The sequence below is a fragment of the Homo sapiens genome, chromosome 2 (genome assembly GCF_000001405.40).
Source record: "Homo sapiens chromosome 2, GRCh38.p14 Primary Assembly".
NCBI lineage: Eukaryota > Metazoa > Chordata > Mammalia > Primates > Hominidae > Homo > Homo sapiens.
Window position 1 is genome coordinate 139,302,378 of NC_000002.12, and position 26,596 is coordinate 139,328,973.

At 35.6% G+C, this 26,596-nt stretch overlaps 1 long non-coding RNA gene across 2 annotated transcripts in view; it reads left to right on the forward strand.

Annotated features, from left to right (window-relative positions):
* The window catches only part of LOC105373643 (uncharacterized), a 144,473-nt gene that overhangs the window by 67,705 nt on the left and 50,172 nt on the right, over positions 1-26,596 (forward strand). For both annotated transcript variants that reach the window (NR_188041.1, NR_188040.1), the window contains exon 2: positions 21,546-21,691. This is a non-coding gene — a long non-coding RNA (uncharacterized LOC105373643). The remainder of the gene's footprint in view (positions 1-21,545; positions 21,692-26,596) is intronic.

The window sequence follows — 26,596 nt, forward strand, 5'->3', positions numbered from 1 at the left end:
AGTTTATTGCTGAGAAATTCCAGGAATAACATTTGTGAAGGGTGAGGAAAGCAGGATTGAGCAGAGGGCAGAGTTCATCTGTAATGCAGCTATAACAGAGGCCTCCGTTGATCCAAAGGGAAGCTCTGGAATTGGGATAGTTTTTCAGAGTTGTCCTGAATTGTCAAGGCATTTGTTCTCCATCAGTCATTGTGTGCGGGCTGCCCTCTGGGAGAAGGACAGAGCAGTTCCTGGCAAGGGGCTTAGCTCTGTGTAATTGGCAACTAACCCTCCTGGCCACTGGAGGTGTCAATCCATTGCTTTTGCTACAAGTACTTCCTACATGGGTGGTGAAAGAAACAAGACATCAATGACTTTATTGCACTGAATTTTCTTAGCTAAATGAAATGAGTAATTTAATAATTTAATAGACTACATATCTAATATCAATCATGTCAGGTAAGATTTGTTAAAGGATTGGAAAAACACTGGAATTTCTGCATCATTTTCTGGATAACATTTATGCCATTATGGGACCTTTGGTATAAGCTCATTTCTTTGGTTAGTCATAGAATTTTCATATCTCATACCTTGTAATTTAATTAATTGGCAATGGCTTTTTATGTGGGACTCTTGCTCACATGGAGTCTAATCAATATTCTCAATTTGCACATGTAGTCTAAGTATAGCTTTAAAATGACTCCAGATCCATGAACAGTTGAAAGCTTTTGTGATAAAATAACATAAAATATACATAATTATGAACTTAATATTAAAAACCACAAATGCTTCAAATAAATTACTAAAAGAACACCTTTGCAAAGACCCTCTGCTCCAAAGTTTAGTATACAGCAAGAGAAAATTAAGAAAACTGGACTTGATTCTGACAAATGTGTAAGTGTCCAGTAGAAGAAATAATAGTTATACAAAGGAAGCAAAGCTGGTCCTATCAGGGCTAACACTGGTGCCTTTATGCAAATTACAACAAACGGAAAAATCAGTATCTTCTCTAGGTGGACTTGCCTCCAGGAATACACTGCTTAGGAAATAACTATTTCTTATTTGTATCAGTTAAGAAAAGGACCCCCCATATTGTAGATTGATGAAGCCCTATCCTAGGGAGTGTGCTTGGCAAACAGAATGTAGTCTGGATTCCAATCCCTACCTGCTCTTTCAGTTTATGCCTTCATGCAGTGAAAAACTTGTATAACTGCATGTTGGCCTTGTAAGCCTTGGGTCCATAACGGGTAGCGAAGGCAGTCATTCAAATAGTATGTCTAGAGATCCCGAAGAACGACATACGAGCCCAACATATGGCTTGTATAATTCAAGACTGAATCAGTATTAAATTATTAAGATTCACATTAATAATTATTTTTGTTGTTAAGAATTGGTTTTAATATGTTTTTAGCCATTACCACTTTAGTTCTAATTAAATTTTCATTTCAATTGACTGAATAAATAATGCTTACAAAAAGTAACGGTTAACTATGGGAGAAGAAAATTCTGGTGCAGGAAGTAATGACTGGAGCTGCCAGAGCAACTGCTTTGGAGTATATGCGAAGTAGGGACCTAGAAGAGGGCAGCTCTAGAATATTTTGGTGCAAAACATCAGCCAATAAGGAGCTGTCCTAAAAGTACAGGGAGTAGAGAGTAGTATTGATACTTTTACTTTCTAAAAACAAATCCCTCGTGAAGTCTTAGGAATGATTGTATTAGAATCAGTTATACCAATCATGCTAGAATATGTGGAGGAAAAACATAATTGACTTACATAAAGATGCAGCTCAGGGACACCCCTGCAAGATGGAAAAGAAAGAGAGAGGCATTTCCTTTCTAATTTAGCGCCATGTCACTTTTCCTTAAACATTTCCAATCAATTCATCATACTTATTTAATAACCTTGATCTTGCCACTGATTTAAGTACATTTTCTGAGCAGTTTTCTGTCCAGTATTTTTTCAAAACAACAAACAAATATTGGTAAAAAGGTGACAAGATATAGATAATCTTGTTCAGTGTTTGTAAGGGGCCTTTTTAAACTTTATAATTTTTTGTAAAATTTTTGCCAATTATGCTGTAATGAAATGAAAATAAAAGTAAATAAAGTAAGTGAATAAGCAAACGAAGCCACCCAAATGCATACTCAATCAAATTATAAGGAGATTGAAACAAATAAGCTTATCATATCTAAAAGACACAGTTTATATTGGCAACTTACTCCAACTTTCATTCATAGGATCCCTAGATTTAGCACTGAAATTGTCTAGGTGACACCCTTCAGATTGTCACATGAGCAAACCTCAATTGATTACTGACAAGATAGCATTTTGTAACAATCAAAGAAGGACTCAATACACTATTGATGCCTCATTATTAAACTCAATTTGAAAAGGACTGGTTATTTGGGTTCTAGAACCCTTTAAATGTTGGAGTACAGTATTAAATATTGAAATACTTTAAATACTAAGAGCATCTCTCTTTATTGCCAACTTGCTAATGACACTTCCATATTTGAAATTAAAAAAATAGAAGGTTGACTCAAGAGATCTTTGCCAAATGTTTCATCTAGTTTCAATTAGGCTCTTTCTTTAGACTGGATCTATGCCCCATGTACCTCCTTTATGCTGAAAGACGTAGATGGAAATCACAGGAGCTCAGTACAGTTAAGGTGTAGGTGGGCAAAAAGTTCATGGGCAGATTTCAGGCTCTGTTTCAGAACAAAAGACACAGATATGGCCTGAAGGAAGAAAGCAAGGCTCAATGAATGCTCTGAAAACCAATAGATAAAGACTAAATGTCTTGGGAGTTTCATACCTCTGTTAGCAGTAGGAAAGAAGTCTGAGAACTAGAAAGTCAAGCAGAGGGGCAAGGGACTCCAAAGTGAGTTAAACATTCACTCAATGCACATTTGCTGAGTCTAGGAATAAGCGTAACCTGCCTTCAAAGCCTAGGCTAGTGTCTATCATTATCCGTGAGATGCAGGTCAAACATTTAAAATTTTGCATGAGAAGAGGAGATTGATGGTCTTAAAAAAGGCTTCAAATTTAGTATGTTAAAAATGTAGAACAATAAAGCAATGATTAGAATAAATGACTATAATATTATATAACCAGAAACATCAAAGTTAAGAATAAATGGTCCCTTCTTGTCCTTCATATAACTTGTACCTAATCTACATTCACTTATACTTGAAAAGTAAGAACACGACGTATTCCTGAGACTAGAACTTTGATTGTAACTTTTATCCTAGTTTCTTAGACTTAAACAGTCATTTGGTACCATGTTGCTCTTGTGTAATTTCATGGTGCATATTCCTTAGCTCCTTAAGTAGCTGATGGTTTTTAAACTCAATATGTAATTGTTTAGGAATTTATAAAGGTTGCATTGCTCATAAAAAAAGCACTTCCACCTTTTCACTGTATTTTACTGAAGTCTTCGTCTTCATTCATAAATATTTAGGTCACACTGGAAGAAAAAAAGGCCCTTGCTTTATAAGTCTATCTTGAGAATCAGTACTTTCATTTTTTTCATTCATTCATTAAAAATTGATATTATGGACAGCCTATTTGTAATAGATTCTGTTCCTAAACTTTCGGCAATAGAGGGTCATAAGGAGACAATAGGTATATATGAAGTAAATAGAAAAGAGATGTTAGATTGCACTATATGCTATGAAAGAAATAATGTAATATGATAGAGAGTAAAGAAGAGAGGTACTCAGAGAAAAATGAAGAAAAACATGGGAAAAAGATAAAAGTAATAGAAACAACAACAGGGAGAAGAAAGGGAGTTATATGGCAGGTTGAATCACCGAATAGTAATTCATCCTGTGACTAGGTGAATGGGGCAGAGAAAGTTCTTAGAGAATAGACAAAGAATGTTTTCATGAAAGAGGCAAATAACCCAAAAGGGGAGTGCTTCTTACAATGGACTCTCAAGAAGTTCATGCTTATTCTTCTTAAGTTCCAAATATTTGGAATCTATTTACAGCGAATTGCAGTAGGTTACGGGTGGCTTTCTAGAGGATTGAGACATAAGCACAGAGCCGAGGGTGAGATTTCACTGATATATTACTGAACCTGCCCTAAAGTAACATCATGAATATTTTAGTCATCTCCTTGCTCAGTGTGCACAAAACTTCTCTACGATTATTAAAACATTGAGATGCATTCCTATGTCCTTCAATAGTATTCTTATTTGTCACCTCCTTAAGTTATAGAATAAAATAGAAGAAATATCCAAAATTTAGAGTACATTTATAAAGATGCTGAGACAGGTAAGCATTTATTAAAATTAAAACAAAATGGCAATATCTTATTCTGTCTTTTTTGTTTAATTGATTTTTATTTAATTGATTGGCATTTTAGCAGCTGTTTTAACACATTATTACAAAGATTATAATAATGCCTTTCAACTGAAAATAGTTCTTTGGTAGCTGGGAGTTATAATTTAAACAAGTAATTAATAAATGTTGATTCCCAGAAACATTTTTGTTGCACAATATAAACACGTTCAAGGAAAGCATAAATACTTCTAATACTAATCCTGAAAAATAATGTATATCCTATTAGAACACAGAAAACAAATAATGTGTAATAAACTAGAATTGAAATTTTCCTGGTTTAGCTATCAGACTATAGCTAGCCACCGAGAAGGAGCCTCCCTCCTTTGTTGCAACTCTATTCTGGCTTGTGTACACCTATCACATGCAATTGTCTGATGAGAATTAATTGTAGGTGAAAGAAATGATAGTTCCTTTTAACTGACATACACTGGAATTCAAAGGCAAGGATTCAACACGAAGTAGAGGACAATCATCCTTCACCATTACTTCAAAGCCCCAGAGTGCATGGAACTTATACTTACCAACAGGTAAAGCCTCCTGGAATTTTCTCACTTCGTCAGGAGAATCTTAGTTTATCCCAGAGGTAATCATTTGGTGGTGGTAGCAGAAAAAGAAGAGAGCAGCATGACTAGACTCTTATAAAACCCTATTTTGACAAAGTTAAAAAATGTGTAAATGTAGAAATACATTTTTTCCTCTTTAAAAGTGATGCTTTGTGTTTTATTAATTATACTATCCATTTGTATGTGTGTGCATTCACAATGTGCCAAACACTGTTTTAAGTATTTTATTTGCAATTTTTATGCAACCTTATTAGTTTGATAGCACTACACTCATTTATACAGATAAGGAAACTATGGCACAGATAATTTAAGTCTTTTATCCATGATTTGCTAAGTAGTTAAGTAGTGAAGCTGGGATTCAAGTCCACTAGTCTGATTCTAGAATTTTGACGCTTAACAGGATAGGTATACAGCACAGGTAGTTCCCACTTGTTTCTCCATTTCCAAGTAAATCTACTCTGAATACATACCTTTGCCTATTATCTCATTTTATTAACATAAAAGATATTACTAGGCTATATCTAATTTTAATTTCTATTTTAAATTTTTGTATTTTGTAGTGAAATCATTGTCTTGCTATACACAGTAGCATGTAGATTTCCTTTGCCATTGACATCATTAATGTTTTAAAAATCCTATAAAGGTCAGAAGACATTAAAAAGTTTCCTAGGAGGTGAACAACCTGCTCCTGAATGACTACTGGGTACATAACGAAATGAAGGCAGAAATAAAGATGTTCTTTGAAACCAACGAGAACAAAGACACAACATACCAGAATCTCTGGGACACATTCAAAGCAGTGTGTAGAGGGAAATTTATAGCACTAAATGCCCACAAGAGAAAGCAGGAAAGATCCAAAATTGACACCCTAACATCACAATTAAAAGAACTAGAAAAGCAAGAGCAAACACATTCAAAAGCTAGCAGAAGGCAAGAAATAACTAAAATCAGAGCAGAACTGAAGGAAATAGAGACACAAAACACCTTTCAAAAAATTAATGAATCCAGGAGCTGGTTTTTTGAAAGGATCAACAAAATTGATAGACCGCTAGCAAGACTAATAAAGAAGAAAAGAGAGAAGAATCAAATAGAGGCAATAAAAAATGATAAAGGGGATATCACCACCGATCCCACAGAAATACAAATTACCATCAGAGAATACTACAAACACCTCTACGCAAATAAACTAGAAAATCTAGAAGAAATGGATAAATTCCTCGACACATACACCCTCCCAAGACTAAACCAGGAAGAAGTTGAATCTCTGAATAGACCAATAACAGGCTCTGAAATTGTGGCAATAATCAATAGCTTACCAACTAAAAAGAGTCCAGGACCAGATGGATTCACAGCCTAATTCTGCCAGAGGTACAAGGAGGTACTGCTACCATTCCTTCTGAAACTATTCCAATCAATAGAAACAGAGGGAATCCTTCCTAACTCATTTTAAGAGGCCAGCATCATCCTGATACCAAAGCTGGGCAGAGACACAACCAAAAAAGAGAATTTTAGACCAATAGCCTTCATGAACATTGATGCAAAAATCCTCAATAAAATACTGGCAAACCAAATCCAGCAGCACATCAAAAAGCTTATCCACCATGATCAAGTGGGCTTCATCCCTGGGATGCAAGGCTGGTTCAATATACGCAAATCAATAAATGTAATCCAGCATATAAACAGAACCAAAGACAAAAACCACATGATTATCTCAATAGATGCAGAAAAGGCCTTTGACAAAATTCAACAACGCTTCATGCTAAAAACTCTCAATAAATTAGGTATTGATGGGACGTATCTTAAACTAATAAGAGCTATCTATGACAAACCCACAGCCAATATCATACTGAATGGGCAAAAACTGGAAGCCTTCCCTTTGAAAACTGGCACAAGACAGGGATGCCCTCTCTCACCACTCCTATTCAACATAGTGTTGGAAGTTCTGGCCAGGGCAATTAGGCAGGAGAAGGAAATAAAGGGTATTCAATTAGGAAAAGAGGAAGTCAAATTGTCCCTGTTTACAGACGACATGATTGTATATCTAGAAAACCCCATTGTCTCAGCCCAAAATCTCCTTAAGCTGATAAGCAACTTCAGCAAAGTCTCAGGATACAAAATCAATGTACAAAGATCACAAGCATTCTTATACACCAATAACAGAGAAACAGAGAGCCAAATCATGAGTGAACTCCCATTCGCAATTGCTTCAAAGAGAATAAAATACCTAGGAATCCAACTTACAAGGGATGTGAAGGACCTCTTCAAGGAGAACTACAAACCACTGCTCAAGGAAATAAAAGAGGATACAAACAAATGGAAGAACATTCCATGCTCATGGGTAGGAAGAATCAATATCGTGAAAATGGCCATACTGCCCAAGGTAATTTATAGATTCAATGCCATCCCCATCAAGCTACCAATGACTTTCTTCACAGAATTGGAAAAAGCTACTTTAAAGTTCATATGGAACCAAAAAAGAGCCCTCATCACTAAGTCAATCCTAAGCCAAAAGAACAAAGCTGGAGGCATCACGCTACCTGACTTCAAACTATACTACAAGGCTACAGTGACCAAAACAGCATGGTACTGGTACCAAAACAGAGATATAGATCAATGGAACAGAACAGAGCCCTCAGAAATAATGCCACATATCTACAACTATCTGATCTTTGACAAACCTGAGAAAAACAAGCAATGGGGAAAGGATTCCCTATTTAATAAATGGTGCTGGGAAAACTGGCTAGCCACATGTAGAAAGCTGAAACTGGATCCCTTCCTTACACCTTATACAAAAATTAATTCAAGATGGATTAAAGACTTAAATGTTAGACCTAAAACCATAAAAACCCTAGAAGAAAACCTAGGCATTACCATTCAGGACATAGGCATGGGCAAGGACTTCATGTCTAAAACACCAAAAGCAATGGCAACAAAAGCCAAAATTGACAAATGGGATCTAATTAAACTAAAGAGCTTCCTCACAGCAAAAGAAACTATCATCAGAGTGAACAGGCAACCTACAAAATGGGAGAAAATTTTCACAACCTACTCATCTGACAAAGGGCTAATATCCAGAATCTACAAAGAACTCGAACAAATTTACAAGAAAAAAACAAACAACACCATCAAAAAGTGGGCAAAGGACATGAGCAGACACTTCTCAAAAGAAGACATTTATGCAGCCAAAAAACACATGAAAAAATGCTCACCATCACTGGCCATCAGAGAAATGCAAATCGAAACCACAAGAGATACCATCTCACACCAGTTAGAATGGCAATCATTAAAAAGTCAGGAAACAACAGGTGCTGGAGAGGATGTGGAGAAATAGGAACACTTTTACACTGTTGGGACTGTAAACTAGTTCAACCATTGTGGAAGTCAGTGTGGCGATTCCTCAGGGATCTAGAACTAGAAATACCATTTGACCCAGCCATCCCATTACTGGGTATATACCCAAAGGACTATAAATCATGCTGCTATAAAGACACATGCACACGTATGTTTATTGCGGCACTATTCACAATAGCAAAGACTTGGAACCAACCCAAATGTCCAACAATGATAGATTGGACTAAGAAAATGTGGCACATATACACCATGGAATACTATGCAGCCATAAAAAATGATGAGTTCATGTCCTTTGTAGGGACATGGATGAAATTGGAAATCATCATTCTCAGTAAACTATCGCAAGGACAAAAAACCAAACACCGCATGTTCTCACTCATAGGTGGGAATTGAACAATGAGAACACATGGACACAGGAAGGGGAACATCACACTCTAGGGACTGTTGTGTTGTGTGGGGAGCGGGAGGGATAGCATTAGGAGATATAACTAATGCTAAATGACGAGTTAATGGGTACAGTGCGCCAGCAGGGCACATGTATACATATGTAACTAACCTGCACATTGTGCACATGTACCCTAAAACTTAAAGTATAATAATAATTAAAAAAATAAAAAATAAAAAGTTTCCTAGGAGGTTTGGATTATTCTTTACAAATTTGACCATTGTTATTTTCTTTTGCGACGGCATTGAGGTTATTTCCAACTCTGCAGTGTAGCATGAGTTCAGTAATGGGATATACTGAGTCGTTCACCCCTAGGCAACTGGTTTAGATACAGCCTGAGGTGGGAGAAGCAGAGAACTCTTTTCGTCTGACAGTTTCTTGTTAGTGTGGGTGAGATGAGTTGGTGGAGTCATACCAGTTCCTGTAGTCAGATATCCACACTGTAATTGGCACCAGACATTACAATCTCTTCAGTGAGTTCTTGGAGGACAAATAGAATTACCCTCTCATTAACTCTGAGGAAGCCAACCAGGTGAAGTTTTAATCTCAGAGTGAAAAAGGTACCTACTTGCCTACCCCTGCTATCTAAATTCTATGTACAAATATAGCTGCTGAAATTTATTCAAACATGATCATTAAGTTAATGGAAAACCCAGGGATTAAAAATATCAAATTGTTTCAATGTCTTTAAAAAAGGACTGGTTTCCTCTCTCCCTCTTTTCTTCTTCTTTTTTTCTCTCTCCGTCTCTGTCTCTGTGTCACCACTGTCTCCTTTGTTTCTCTCTTACACACACATGCACACACACACACACACACAAGAAATGTCAAGAGATAATATGCAAAATACAAAACTCTAAATAATGCGTATTTTAAAAATCTAGTCCAATACTAGTAAAGGTCTTTGCATAATGCCTTGTATTATTTAAAAAAAAGAGAGATAAAGAGTTAGTATGTATGCTCTTTTACCATATTTTTTCCTCACCAAAATATGTAAACACCTTCCATTTCACATGGGCATCTAGAGTCTTTAAATAGACAGCCAGAGGGCTAAGAAAGTGAAACTAGCTGGTTTGGATTTATCTCCTTTTCCTTTGTGTCTTGATAATTTAAAAGGCAGAGTAATTTCATCCTGGATTATATATTAATCTTCTGAGTGATTTGTTACATGTTCTTTGGTTCTCTAAATACTCACCAGAGACAATTTCAATTTGTTTCTCTTTCCTGAAGTTGCCCTGTTACTTAGGCTTTATTTCAAGTTCTTATGTTTGGACAGAGGGTAATGGAAGAACAGGCCACCAAATTATCTTTACAAAATGAGACAATTTAAATTTGAGCAGTTACCAAGTTATGACTTACCAATCATTTTTATATATGTTCTCTAGATATACCCCACTTAGTTTGCCTGATGTAAGAGTCAGGATAGGAGCATTTGAAATATTTCCATTCCCTTCCACTGCAGTGTTTAAAATTATGTCAAACACTGCAATCTAGTCTTACTACAGCAAATAAGAACATGACAATGGTGTTCCTTCTACCAAAAGTATAATAGATTGTTATTTTGCAAAATTGAGTAGAGACATATTTATGTTTCATATGCATACTGAATCAAAGAACAAAAGGGATCTTTAGACACCTTCACATTTTGCAGAAGTGAAAATTGAGTACCAGATAGATAAAGTAACTTCTGTAAGATTTTGTTGTTGTTGTTGTTATTGATATATTTGAAAGTTATCTCCTCAAATAAGATCAGTGCTTTACATTTTATCTCCGTGGCAGAAATCACCTTTCACAGTAACTGTACAATGACAAGCAGAGTCTATATTCCACAAATACAAAGGTCAGTTCTAATACAGAATTCAACTCAGCCTGTGTGAATTCAATGCCAAATTCCTATCTTTCTTTGAATAATAAATAATATTAACAGTAACACACAAAAACACCATAAGGTATGTGCTTCTTTCTTATTATATAAGGCCCTTTCTAATATAGAAGCAATTGGGTGGAATGTGTAATGCTATGAAATTAGTCATTCATAGCAAGTAGTCTTGTGGATCTTCCACACAGAATTGATAGATGGCATTAATGTTGTTCTTGCCAAATTCCTCTTCAAGTTTAAAAGGTGAATTTTCTAACTTTTCATCCTTTTTTAAAACCCTTTCCCAAAGAAGTAAACTTAAAGTTCTTTGGAAGCATAATTTAGTCTTTCCAGTTTTCTCTAAAAATTTAACAGGAAAAAAATGTGGCACATATATATTATTTATTGAAAGTGCTTACTTTTGAAATGCAGTATATTTGGAAGCACATTTGGTACATGTTTCATTTAAATAGTTAAATGAAATCATTAATAATTAGCTAAAATATTTGTTCCAATACATTCTTCCATGGGATTCAGGATATCAGCCTGCATATCAGTGAAAGTCCTTTTCTCTTGCTCAGTTTGTTTGTGAGATGTTTTGGTTTCTTTTAAGTACATACTTTTTTAAAAAAACTAAATTTGAACAAATACTTTAAGTCTTATTGTTCTTTCCCTAACTTTAGTTCCACCAATTCTACCATGGAAGTGGAAGTGAAAACTAACTCATTAAAAGAAAAATTCCTTCAGTACTAGGAATCTGCATCGTACCATATTAAACCTATGCTATCATTGGACAAACATAGCAGCTCATTTAAGACTCACGAAGAGACAATGGAGGTAGAGAGAGGACACTGTGAAAGTATCACTGCACTGCTCACCTCCCTCCAAATTCCAAATGCAAACTCTGAATTTAAAAGCAGATTAATGAGCCATTAACAGGTTCCACAAGAGTGTTCTTTCCAAAAGCAATCAATAGTTCCTCCTTTCTTTCCCCCACTATATATACACACACACACATATATATATATAGTTTCTATGTTCTTAGAGATATTTGTTTGATTAACTCATCGTTACTGCTATGCTGGATAATATGCATTTACTAGGAAATAGCTGAAGCCCTAGCTTTTAAGACAGTAATGAATTATTACAGATAATGGAAATTGCATTCAAGCAATAGCACAATAAACAGGTTGTTCTGTGTGGAGTGTTTATTTATTTATTTTTAATTTAATATTCATGGCCAATTCCACATTGTATCTTTTCTAGACATAGTACTCATTAGCCTTCTGGAGTAGAAAAAGTGTGAACTTTAAAGCGGACTCTCAGGAGAACAGCAATTTGGCTCAGGCCCCAATCCAACATTACACAGAGAGTACTGGTGGCTGACAGGATTTCTGTACAAATGGGCTCCTGGAATGCCTCAAACCCTACAGAAATGGCTTTAAATTGTTAACATGTTAGGGCTGAACACAATGCCAGAAAATGTGCTTATATTTTCCCAGATGACAAAGACCACTCCATTATAACTAAGTCTGCACCTGTAAACCTGGTTATGTTAATCAAAATGCCTGACTTATTGTGTGTGGTTTGTTTTGTTTTGTTTTGTTTTGTTTTACCTGACAAGAGAGTTCCAGACTTGAAGGGAGGGGAATGTCAGGATCCAGAAGAGGTAAGATGTAAGTGTGTAAAACATAATTTCTGTTTCTTTTCTGTGTTTATCTTCTATTACTACAAGGGCAAATACTGTGTGCAGTTCTTAAGAATGGTATTGAGCTGAGTGAGGGTTACCAGGAGAGCTGTAGAGCACTTGGGGATATGAAATTAAATGTAGAGGAATTAAAACATTCCCTAGCATTAGCTAAATATACCAAATGACAGAATAATATTTGTGAAAGATTAACAAATATTTTTCCTATATCCTTAGTCCACATTTGGATACATAGGAAATTTGTGTTTTTACTCACTCTGCATATGTATGTAACAAAATAATGCAGAAAAAAAGGAAGACTCTTCCTTGCTTTTTAGTCTCAAAAGCTAAGGGCTCGCACAAGTTATAAATAAAAGATTTGGAAAAAAACCTCATGTCTAAGAGCAAGGCCTTTACCACTTCTTCAACTTGAATAACACAATAACAACAGCAAAAATTCCTTAAGGATGTTCGAGTAAAGAGTATAATAGGAGTTGAGATGTCAGTAGATCCTGGAAGTCCACATAGGTTCAGAACATGAGGCAGTGCCTGAAGGGAAATAAATAGAGGAGCAACAGCATAGAAGCCTGGGGCAGATAGGAGGCAGCAGAATGATACATGGAAACTGTCTGCATCAACGTGGACAAAACAAGGGCCAGGTCAAATAACTGGAGAAGCAGGGTTCTGATGCCACGTTCCTCTAAATGTCCAGACTAACCTGCACTCAATCACATATTTACCTATTGTCTCCTTAAACTATTTGGTCATAAATTTGGTTACTCTTAACTGGAGATTGGAGTAACCATCCTCCTGGAGATAATTAGAATTACACAACAACTTCTAAACAGTAATATTTAAGAAATATGAAATATCTGAGTTTGGCCAGTCATGGTGGCTCACACCTGTAATCCTAGCACTTTGGGAGACTGAGGCAGGTGGATCACTTGAGGCCAGTAGTTTGAGACCAATCAGGCCAACATGGCGAAACTCCGTCTCTACTAAAAATACAAAAATTAGCCAGGCATGGTGGCACATGCCTGTAATCCTAGCTACTCGGGAGGCTGAGACAGGAGAATCACTTGAACCCAGGAGGCACAGGTTGCGGTGAGCCGAGATGATGCCACTGCACTCCAGCCTGGGTGACAGAGTGAAAAAAAAAAAAGAAAAAAGAAAAAAAGAAAAAGAAAAGGAAACATCTGAGTTTTTCTAGAATCATGTTTTACATCACTATAAAACTTTATAGGCCGGGTCCAGTGGCTCATGCCTGTAATCTGATCATTTTGCGAGGCCAAGAAGGAAGATTGCTTGAGGCCAGGAGCTCAAGACCAGCCTGGACCATATCATGATACTCTGACTTTGTGAAAAAAAAATTTTTTTTTAATTAGTAGGGTGTAATGGCATGCACCTGTGTTCCCAGCTACTCTTGGGAGGGTGAGTTAGGGGAATCACTTGAGGTCAGGAGTTTGAAGTTGCAGTGAACTATGATTGCACTACTGAACTCCAGCCTGGGCAACAAAGTGAGACCATGTCTCAAAAAAATATGTATACAGAACCCACACTGAAAACTTACAGGACATGCCAAAGTCTAGTGGACAACACATAAGGATTAGAAAGGTAAATTAATGCAGGAGTGACTGATACTCAGTGCAGGCAGCTTTGATACTTTATAATTATAATTGTAATACTTTTCTTGAATTCCATAAATTACCTTAATATATGAGAATATGTTCAAGTAGTCTTTTAAATATTTCTCCTTAGTCACAATTACTTACTAATAAAAAAGTGACCATAAAAAACTCTTTTTTTTCTTTGCCTGTCCTTTCATGTCAAGATGTTGCTTGAAAAATTGTGGGATATGCCAAAATCTAGCGGACAAAACATAAGGATTTGAAAGGTAAATTAACGCAGGAGTGCTGACACTCACTGTAGGCAGCTTTGATACTTTGCAATTAAAATTGTAACACTTTTCTTGAATTGAATTCCATAAATTACCTTAATATATGAGAATATGTTCAAGTAGCCTTTTAAATATTCTCTAGTCACAATTACTTATTAATAAAACAGTGACCATAAAGCACTCTTTTTTTTTTCTTTTTTCCTGTCCTTTCATCTCAAGCTGTTGCCTTGTTTTTATCTATTCTAATCTCTTCTGCCCTGGAAAGTTCTTCTCTAACCACAGCTTTTTGAGCAGACAGGTTAGCAGGGGGATGAAGAATAGGGCTCAGGTGAGAGACAAGAAGCCTGAAGTCTGATTGACCTGCACTTCATATTTTCTGAGTGCTTATGCTCTGTTGCAGTTCATTCAGTTGTTGGCATTATTTAAGTTGCATCTCAAACACAGTAGAAACAGAAGAGAGATAAAAAAGAATACATTTACTTTGAAATGTAATAACTAAATTCAGTTTTTATTAGATTTTAGCTTCTGGACAAAAACTTGGTATTCAATGGAAAAGAAGGCATTTGTTCACTATTAATTGATTATGACCTGCTAACACCACTGGGTCAATTTCACCATCAGATTCTCAAGCTTTGTATAATTTCTGATGGTGAACTGGCTGGTCCCTGGATGATTTCTGGGCATTTGTCTCCTGAAATGCATCTGCATTTATCTTGGTTTTTCTCTCTTTTTTAAGCACCAGCATTTAGTTCTTTGAAGATTTTTTTTTTTTTATTTCTTATTTTTCAGTGACCTTAGGTTTCTCCCCTGGGTGGGAATTTTTTTTTATTTGATTTTTTTTTTTCAGATAAATTTTTAAACAATTTCCCTCCTTTCCAGAGCTTTTTACTTACTTCTCCCTTGCTGTTAACTTCCCTTTAGTTCGGTGGGGATAATGGAGAATAGGAGAGGTCTGGGGCCACTTTCACTGTTATGGAAGTAAAAAGAAAGAAAACTTGGCTTAGAAAGCAAGTTGTTCTAATGGCAAGGAAAATATTCAAGTTGAAACCTCACAGTATCTGCTTTGCCCTCCTCCCTACTGGGTTCCAATTAGTTCAAAGAACATTTTTTATTTTTTTTTTTTTGTAGCACTGTTTATAAGGCATCAGGGAAATGATGTTTGCTCTCTGCCAGTAACAACGTTTAAATATACGTGTAACCAGAATGAGCCGGTTTCTACCCCCAGAAAAGGGCTTCTTTGCATGTGCTCTATATAATAATATGTCTTTAGTGCTGTCATAATTTATTTCATTATTGCTTCATGCATACATACATTGTAATTATCAAAAAAGTTTATGCTGAGAAAGTCACCGATGGCCTTATTATTTGCATGCCAGTTCTTTAAAATGCATTTCCATTGCACAATTCATTTTAAAATAAGTTTTTGCACTTTCTTACAGTGAAAAAGGATGAAACTTTCCAAGTTGCAGGTCCAAGGAAGAAAGTCCAATGATCAAGCTTGAGAAACCTATTCTCCTTCCCTTCACTAAGATTTTCCAGGGGCAGAGAACATCTGGAAGGGATACAGTGTCTTGGAAATGCTACTTAAATCTTCATTGCTGAGAGGTTTACTAAAGCAGTGGGGTACACAGTGATAGAACAGGTATCGGCAGTGCTTTTAAACAGGTAGTTATGACCTGATGGTTTAATTAAGACTCATACACTTAATTCTACCATACATGACTTGTGGGAATTTATCAAATTTGTTTAGATGTTAATTGTATTCAGTAATCCTGTGTGATCCCAAGAAGATAACATACTAAAAGTAAGGGTAGATGCTCTCCAACCAGTTTAAATTAACTCTGTCCATGTTGAAAAAAACAAAGACTTCCTCTAAAACCTTCATGTAGCCATAAACTTTTGTGAAGGAAACAGTGTATTGAAGGAGTTAAATACAAAGTCATTGGAATCTAATAACCCTCACGCTGAAATCCAGCACCACCACCTATTAAAAATGGAAACTTGGACAAGTGGTTTCATCTTTTTTAACTTCAATTTCTGTGGCCACATAGATGCTATAAGGATTAAATAAAAGAAAATTAAGTGCATAACACTTTATTTGTATCCATTAAAAGGAAATTATTTTAATTCCTCCTATTATGATTATTCTGATAATGTGTTTTTTTTTTAGTATTATTGTGTGCATCATATAAAATAGTTTTGTTGCCTTGTGTCTTTTTTTGTCCCAGCATTGCTAAAAATAAATAGAGCAGGAACTTGGCAAAATCATAACATTAACATAAAATGTTCATCACTTTATATTTTATTGTATTGTATCTTCTATTTTTCAATCACTCCTACCACTACAATACACACATCAAATATTATCTAAAATTATTTGCACACGTTTATTTTGTTTAAAAGTGAAGATAAGACCCACTTCCTACTCCCCCACCCATCTCTTTATTCTATGGCTTCCGATTTTTCTTAATTTCAAAAGCAATCTTTAATTATATGATTAGATAGATGGCCTACACGGTAAGTTTTGGGACCTTACATTCAAAGTGTCTTGGCAATCAAAGACCCTTTCCTGTTTTCCTGAAAGAATGGAGTGAAAAGGAAAGTATAAACAAAGATAAATTTTTTTCTCACAAATTCTCCACTCTGAAGTACCCTGGCACTCTGCTCATACAGTTAACAGTGAAAGTGATTGTGTTGGGATTCCCTAATTTTAATACCATGGCTATTTGCTTTCTAGATTAAAGCTAATATTAGTCGGGGAGTGGTCCAGACATAACTGTGATGAAGATCACTTTTAATGGTTCCCTTCTTTTCTCCTATGAGCAACCCTCTCTATTTACTTCCCACCAACAATTCTGATCCTTTCCCTGTTCTCAAGGTGCCCAAGCCTCCCACTTAAATGTGCTATTCACCTCTCAGAGTACTTAAAGCCCTAATTTGTCTTTTCTCTTCTCCTGTATCTTATGAAATCCAAGAAAGGTACACTCCCTCAGGGATACATTTTAGTTTGTACCAAGGTGGTAATGGATCAATAACTAATATGTCCCCTTTCAAGACAACTTTGTAATCCTAGCAGTGTCTCTCAGTGAGAATTTCAAATATATGGGAGAAGAATGAAGATCTGGGATACATACTGGGACGATACATACTTTTTAGCAATATTTATTTATCCAATAATTTATTTTTCAAATACATCGTAATTGAGCATCTAAGGTTTAGCACTGCCAGTATAACAACAATATAGAATCACTGAACTCAAGCTCTGGCAATGCAGTGAGCTAATACTAGAAAGGGAAACAGTTTTTATGTTGATCAAAGAGATCCACAGAGGAGATTTTGGTCAAGCAGAACAATCTAGCCCACTGAAAAGAATCACCAAAATCTTTATATATATATATGTGTGTGTGTGTGCGCGTGCTTTTGTGAGTAGCTTTGTTCGCTACTTCTAAAGACAAAAATGTGAAAAGATATTGACCCTGAAATCTCTTGGGAAATGTGTTCATACTGCAAAAGCAGGAAAGTACATGCCTAAACATTTGACCATTGGATGAATATCTTCCTAACTCTTTAGGAAATAATTATCTTTTCATTCAGTCAAATGCGTTGCAGACATCTTTAAGACCTTATTAAAGCCAGTTTAAAAGGAAAAATACACACATTACACAAATTAAGGGAAATGCTTGGAGGTATTCATTCTATATTAGAATATCATTGTCACACTTTGTAAGTATCAAGAACAGTTTATCTTCATGATCCTTTCAGAATTACCCAGACTCCTCAGGCAATGACATTTTAAAGAGGATTTGGCTGAGAATAAAAGGCTTTTGATGAAAAAAATTAATTTATGTCAGAACTGCACATTCCAAAAAGTAGCCATCTGGGAAGTTACACTGTTTTGTCGTTGATATTCTCCCTGGCTCAAGTGGAAGCTGCCCTTGGGACCTTTATATCCCACCATTATAGGCCAACATAAAAGTACAACAAGTTTTCTTCCAATAAAAAAATTCTGGATAATTATTATAATTCATTATACATGAACAATGGATTATATTATTATTATTATTTTCAGGGCAGACTATTTGAGATGAGAAAAAACTTTAGTTACCACCTAGTCCAGTACCTCTCTTTACAAATTGGGACCACAAAAGATACCAGACTACTCTCTTAGCTTTGGAGCCAAAATTAAGACTCTTTTCTTTTCTTTTTTTTTTTTTTTTTTGACACGCAGTTTCCCTTTTTGTTGCCCAGGCTGGAGTGCAGGGACGCCATCTCGGCTCACCGCAACCTCCGCCTCCCAGGTTCAAGCGATTCTCCTGCCTCAGCCTCCCGAGTAGCTGGGATTACAGACATGCGTCACCATGCCTGGGTAATTTTTTTTGTCATTTTAGTAGAGACGGGGTTTCTCCGTGTTGGTCAGGCTGGCCTCGCCCTCCCTACCTCAGGTGATCTGCCCGCCTCGGCCTCCCAAAGTGCTAGGATTACAGGCGTAAGCCATCACTCCAGGCCTAATTAAGACTCTTAATTTACTCCTTCTACTGTCCATGGTACAGACCTTATTGGTTTTGATTTATCTTTTCATATTATCGTATCAGTATTACAGCAAAATGAATATAGATAATAACATGAATAATAAAATACCATAATATTACTTCTAGAATTATATTATTAAATAATATATTATTTATACTGTTATAGTATAATAGAATATTAATAATAATTTTAAAATAAAACAAATAATGAAAGGGAAATTGAAAAAATTATCATGATAATGTCTGAAGAAAGATCAGATAAAGAGAAATTTGTGGCCAAGGATTATATTTCCCATATTTATTTTTAATGTTTTACCAATTATTCCTTTTTAACTTGCAAATATACTGAGAAATAATTATCCTACAAGAAAGTTGGTGCTCCAAATTTTTAAATACCTCACCTCAAGATTCATGGCTTCAACAAATGCTAATTTATTTTGCACACAACCTGAAGATTGGTCAGGGCTCCAGCTGCACATTTGATCACTTTTCATGGTTATATTTTACTTTCTGTATATATTTTTGTAGTAAACATGTATGAAATAAGAATCTAACAGTATAAAAAAGTGCTGATTTAATATATTAATCATTAGCTAATTAATGTTGTGTCCAGGAAATCACAGAAGTGATTACCTAATTCCTTAAAAGGCCTCCTAAGTTATTTCCAATAAGTACTTATTTTATCAGACCAAAATGGAAGCATAAGTCAGAAAAATAAACGTATAGACTTATTCCATTCCTGGCATATTACCTGCTACATTGGCACAATCTTGGAAATGTATAGGGCATTCAATAGTTTTTCCTTGATTAACAAGAGACTACAGACTTTAAATTAGGTCTTCTTGCATTGGTACAGTGGAGGGTACCTCGTATATAGTACAGACAGGAGAAGAACAGGCTGAGAACAACTGCAATACAGAATAGAATTTGCTAATTAGCTACTACGACTTAAAACTTCAAATTTTTCTGTTAATTTGATTCACAGAGTGGAGTAGGATGGGATTTGTGGATGTCCAATGCCTCGGAATGTTGGGATGGCTTTTCAAGAAACCATCATTACTATCTAAATAATATGGGAACCATAGTATATGTCAAATTCTCCAAATGAGTATTGTCCACTCTTCCTGAGTGCTGTCTTCATACACTCTTGATTCAGGGGTCAACAAAACAACAGCAGCAGCAGCAGCAGTAATAACAACAACTACAAAAGCAGCATCAAAAACTATCCACTTCTCAGTTACCTTTCTGCCAATAAACAAACGTAAAATATTGATCGCAATGGAAACCTTTTGTAAATAGCAATCCTCAAGTCTTGCGTCTGGCAAAAAAGTGTTATTAACATTTAAAAGTTAAAAATATTTGTGACTTTTGGTACTTAAAACACTTATTTTTCTTAATCTTTTATCTGGAAGTGACGTTCTTAAGAGAATAAATTCAACTTAATTTTGTTCTACCATCAGGTGCATGATTTCAGTATGATGGCCAAGCCATCTGGCTTCCATTTTCACAGGACACTAGAACTGTCTTCTTTCTTCATTCCATACATTTAGTTTAATTCTCATAATAGCCTATTACATGTCACCACTAGACTTCTATAGAAATTTCTACTTGAGATTGCTGGTTTAATTGAGGTAAAATTGAGATAGATAATTACTGCTAAATTTTGACTAGATATTAGCATTAATTTCAATTGACATTTTGTCTAACAAAAATGATAAAAAACAAAAACTTTGATGAAGGTTTCAAATGCTTAATATTTTCTCTAAGTACCAGGTAATTTCCTTTTCATTATTTTTGCTATTGTTTTTATTTATTGTGTTTGTGTGCATGTTTGTATCAACTAAATGGGCCAGTCAATCTGGTGAAAAGGGTAAAGTTACTTACATGTGCATTTTCAGGCACAAACTCAATTTACCTTCAGCGACATAAAACATCGAAGGAGGGAAGCATGAAACATACATAAATAAATGTGACAAGTTGGCCAAAGACCATTTATCATCCTGGGAAATGAAGTCACATGATTTATAGTGCAGTAAGCATTTTCAAAATGTGACTTGCAATTGTCTTAAAATCAACAATATGTTCTATTCTGATTCTATTAATTTGAAAGCAAATCAAAATATAGCAAGTTTGTTTTCTAATAATTATACTTATGCAGGATTTGAAATTTAAATTTGGAAGTAAAGAAAAAGGTATTCCAGAGAATTGTAATTGAAAAGGATGCTTACTACTATAATTTTTTATTGTAAGTTCAAGCATTCTTCAAACACCAAGTTTTATGAGACAGAGTGTAAATGTTGATATCCTGAGAGATAAATAGCCCTACATTAAAAATTAGAAAAAAGAACTTCATATATGAGACTGGATAACCTCATTTATTTTATTTTTAAAAAGGTTGCATATCTGCAAATCAAATATCCTCTGAAGAAGAAAAAATGCATTATTCACCACAGTTTTTTTTTCTTTAATGGTTTTTTTTTCAGAAGCCTTAAGGTTTCAGATTTTGCCTGTAAATAGTAATAAACATTAGTAATGACAATGAATAAAAATGAATGTAAATGGGTTTAATCTGACCGGTGTGATCATGTTCAATCCTGGCTAACCAAATTCTGAAAGGCAATTTTGAAAACGAACGTGGAGTCTGAGAGATAAAAACGGTGAACCTCGGTATCTGCTAGTCTGCTGTTCAAATAGATAAACCTATGGAATGATGAGACAGGGGAGTTTGAAGAGGCTATCTGATGCGTCACTCATTTCTCTACTCACAGATGATGGAGAAACAAAGCCCTGAGAAGAAAAACTATGTCTGCTTTTCCCCTTTGCATCAAGATATTAGAGTCAACTTTATTTGAGCTGATTGTTTTCTCAACTTCACATCCCATTCTATTGCAGTGTCTGCTCATCAAAGAGGAATGACAGATCCTCCTTCATCAACATGTTTTCCTTAGGAATGGTGCCAGGATGCAGGGCATAAGTGAGAGGACAGTTCCCTTGGTTATGAGGTAACTAAAAATAGCCACCTTTGAAAGCCATCAGAGGTGAGTGTGAAGTTTGCAATCAGTTGTCCTCTTTGCCAATGTCAATCTTCTATTTCTAAAATAAACATTTTAGGAGATAAGAAATCATAAGATAGTTTGATCTTCATTCAGTCTAGATGATTGAAAGATTCTAGTGAAGGACAGCAATAATCAAAGGCTAAATGAGAAATACACAGCAGAAGATAAGCATAGTTTATGGACAAGGATAAAAGGACAAAACGTCCATCTGACATTTATTATAGCAAAACCTTAAAAATGTACACATGGATGTTTCATGGAGCCCTGGATGAGTCAATATTTATATTTTCTAGAGGGCCATCTTCCTGAACATCTGTATTAGAAAACAGGTCCTGAGAATTCTGTAATAATGTCTTAAACCCACCAGAACTTTGTAAGGTGAACTTCTGAAATAGCTTTACTTTTCTCACATCATTAGTTTTCAAACAGTCTCTTTTGAGTTTCTCTTTCTTGAACCTGGCAAAACCAGAATATCTTCTTACTTACTTTTATTCAATAACAGTCTCATCGTGAGGTATGACTCAGAAAAGTCTGATATAAATTAAAACATTGTTTTCATATTCAATTTAAAGTCAGGTCATTTTAGGCTTAACTTGGGCTAAGAAACCTAAAGGGGAGAACGGCAGCATGGTCAGATTCTTTACTATTAATTGGCCTCTTCTGTTCCCTCTCCTCTACTTACCTATTGTCTCCAACTCAACCAGTATAAAAGTAAAAGTAAAGAAATATCAATTTCTTACTTGACTGATGTGTCATGTGCTAAAATGTTCTTTTGGTGTGTCAGATGCCAAAATACTCTTTCTTATCTCTTGGGGTGTTTTAGGGGGTCATCAGTGACCACCACCTGCTGTCCTCCTGGAGGGCTTTTGACTTTACTGTGTTCTGTGGTTGATCCGCTTCTCAATTGGCTACTAACTACCTTTGCCTTAGCTCCAGCTGCTTGCGGGACATCCTGTACAGGCTCTTTCTGTTGTGGTCATCCAGCCCTGGGGAGGAAAACCTGTAGCCAGGATTGTTGCCAGATGTTTTAAGTTTGGCTTTTTGAGAGGTTCTCACTGCCTACCAGAAATTGAGATATTTCTGCCTTGAGTAGAAGTGAATTGTGTTCTTCACTCCTTGCTTTGCCATATCAGGCAATTCTATCCAAACGTTTGCCACTAAAGCTTGCCAGGTCAGAGTCAAGCACTAGCTTCTGCATTGTCTGAACCCCAGAACTACTGATGTAGTCGTCCTCCCCAAATTTGATCTGAAATAGATGAGTTGCCCAATACTCATTGACTTCTCTCCAGAGAAATTCTTACTATCTGTCTTGTGAATCCTTAGCCTTCTCTTTAATGATCTGGTGGTGGGTGATATGTTAAAGGTGTCTGACTCAGCTTTACAGTATTTTCATGTGTTCTCTATGGCTATAACCTGAATAATTATGTTCTCTTAAATTCATATGCTGAAGTCCAGCCCCCCAAGATTATGGTATTAGCAAATGGAGATTTGATGTGGTGATTAGGGCAAGAGGTGGAGCCCTCAGGAATGAGATTAGTGCCCATGTAAAATAGCCAACTTCCATCATTTGAGGACAGAACAAGAAGTCACCATATATCAGCCTGAAATGAGGCCCTCACAGACACCGAATCTACCAGTGACTAGATATTGGACTGCCAGGCCTCCAGAGTTGTGAAAAATACATTTCTGATATTTTTGGACACCCAGTTTATGGTTTTTTTGTTATATAGCAACCTGGATGAACTAAGACAATATGGATGGTCCAGCACCAATAGTAAAACTCTGCCAAAGCAGATAATTGGCTTAGTTTCGACTTTACATTATGTAATACATAGGTAGGACATTTTGCAATGTGACACAATAAGTGATAACTATTTGGAATTAGAATTGTCTCTTTGAAAGGGATAACAATCTTAATTTTAAAATAATTTTCATATTTATTTAGTTGAATCTCACGTTCCATATTTCTCTCTTCTTCCTTCCCTACACACCTATACTCACTCTAAACTTATTATCCATGGATAATAATGCAACACAGGAACATGAATCTCAATAAGGTTCACTTGATTTCAAACAGAAATGGCAGGCAGGAGTTGGGGAGAAGCTAATAAATAGATTCAGAAGTACCTTGAGGCATTTAAGGCCTGAAGGTATAAAAACTATGTATCAAAAAACAATAGCACAAGTAAGAGAAAAGTCAAAGGTAAAAGTCACTCATTTCATCTGCTTCAATCTTCTCAGTCTCTTGGGTTATCTTTATCTGAAGTTATGTCTCATTGTTTTAGATAGCTTCTTGCTCATTCCGCAACATGTGCATGTGTCTCAAACGTGCTTGTTCATGGCTTCTAGCAATTCTGTTGGAAGAGGATTTCCTAGCAGCATCTCTAGCATATGTGAGCTAAAAATTCAATAATGTATTATAACTCCTTTTATATAATACTGATAGGATGCAGACAGCAGGTATAACTTAGAGTGGTTATAGGTCCAGTTATCACTAGTATGTTCAATTAAATTATGACAGGTCTCATTCTTTGATATTATACCATGAATGACACGGCTTTAAGGCCATTTTCATGGAGCCCTGAAATATCCTAAAGAAAGGGAAAAATATTAGTAAGAATGCCTACAGTGAGACAAAGCTCTATCTGATGAAGTAAAAACATGGCAAACAACAGCTCATCATTCAATAATTAGCAAACTAAAAATTTGTGTCCTAGTTAACCTTCTATTATTCTAACTATTTGCTTTCAGTCAAAGATTCTTTCCTGACTGTATATAAAAATATATTTCCTGAGTTTTGCTCATGTAAAATGCAACTTCAGCAACACTGTGAAATCTGCATATACATTAATTATCTTGATAGATACAGTCAAAGCAGAAACCCTGAGTTTAATATGTTGACATTTTAACCTTCATTAAGGAGAAATAATTTTTTGCTTGAAATTTTTCTCTCCTTCTATTGACATTAACCACTGTGTTGGCACTTGTAGCCATGTGCTGATCTGTCAGTCAATCCATTCGTAGCATTTTCGTGTCCGGATGTTGGCTGACCCAAAAAGTTAACAATAGTAATATATTCTGATGATGATGTTGTTTGAGATCTTGGTGATTTTTATTGCTCATTAAGGGACAGGACCTCATGTTTACTTGAATGTCCTGCTGTCATCTCATATTTAAGAACTTTTTTTTTTTAAGCACCATTATTGACTGGGCATGGTGGCTCATGACTGGAATCCCAGCACTTTGGGAGGCCGAGGCAGGCGGATCATGAGGTCCGGTGATCGAGACCTTCCTGGCTAACACGGTAAAACCCCGTCTCTACTAAAAATACAAAAAATTAGCCAGGCATGGTGGTGGGTGCCTGTAGTCCCAGCTACTCGGGAGGCTGAGGCAGGAGAATGGCGTGAACCTGGGAAGCAGAGCTTGCAGTGAGGGCCAAGATCACGCCACTGGGCTCCAGTCTGAGCAACAGACTGTATCTCATTTTAACAGTGAGATACAGTCAAAAAAAAAAAAAAAAAGCATCATTATTTCCTGTATAATCAATTATTCCTTCAACTAATGTTTCTTTAGTAAATTTGTACCTCTCAAACAAATAAACATTAAGCCATTATTATATGATACAAAATTTTCAATCTTGTTAACAAGCTACACTTGTTTTCAAAAATAAAATTTCTCCAAGGAAGCTAATGATGTCAGCTATGTTGCAATGAATAAGAACACCTAGAATGATTTGACAAAAACCATACTCAGGTAGTCATGAGTTTGCTATTGAGTTTCACTTCAATATTATTGCCATGTTTTATTTAATGAATCCATATTTGTAAAACTATATGGAAAAATAGCTGACACATAAAAAGAGCTAGATGAATGTTTATTAAGTTAGTAAAAAATAAAGCCTCAAACATGAAAGGCTGAAAGGGAGGAGAAAGACGTCTACAAATATTGATATAAAAGAACATTATGTTAAGACTATCTTTTTATTTCCTTACAGGTGCTCTGTTTAGAAAGATGACACAGCCTTTAAAAAAGTCCAGGCATAGGTATAGAGTGTCTAGTCTATAAGAAAGGCAAAAGGACAAAAAGCTACCCTCTGGGAAAATAAAAAAAAATGTTACAAAGTTCATGTTTCACAATTAATGCATACACCAGTGGACATTATATATATGTTTGGATATGGTCTTTTTATCAGCAGTATATAGGCAATGATTAATGACTAAATTGCAGCAGAAATGCATGGCAAGTAAGATGGATGAAAAAATTCATGAATTTTTCTCTTCTTTAATGACAAATAATCTTTACTTAAAGATAAAGATGTTTATACATTTTGGTTAATTAAGTTGTCTCGATCATAGAGGTAGTTTGATTGAATGTTAGTATACTATTTTAAAAAATAGGAGATCTCAGGCATAAGGACCTACTTTAATGAAAAAATAATTAGGCTTAAGAATGCAAGTGCAAATGGAAGCAGATTCACAATATTATTTTAATATTAAAAATTGTTTAGCTGCCTACCAGGTGCCTGCACTCATTCTACGACTCATGATACATTGCATATATAATACAACTCTGGCCCCATCCTATGAACTTTAAAGTCTTATGTAATCTGGCCTCTGTCTGCCTCTTTGACTTTGGCTGTTGACACTCCCCCACTTACTGACCATGCCTCAGCCTCACTTGGCTTCCTTCAGTTCTTTGAACATTTAGAGCATCTTTTCACCTTAGGCCATTGCATTGCCCATCTTGCTGCCTAGGGTACTCTTGTGCGTACTGTCTTGAAACATCCTTCTCTAACCATCCTAAATATACAGCCACCTTCCCCAACCGTGAAGACCCTTTTTGTCATATAATCCTATTTAGTATTCTTCATAGTATCTATTCCTATCT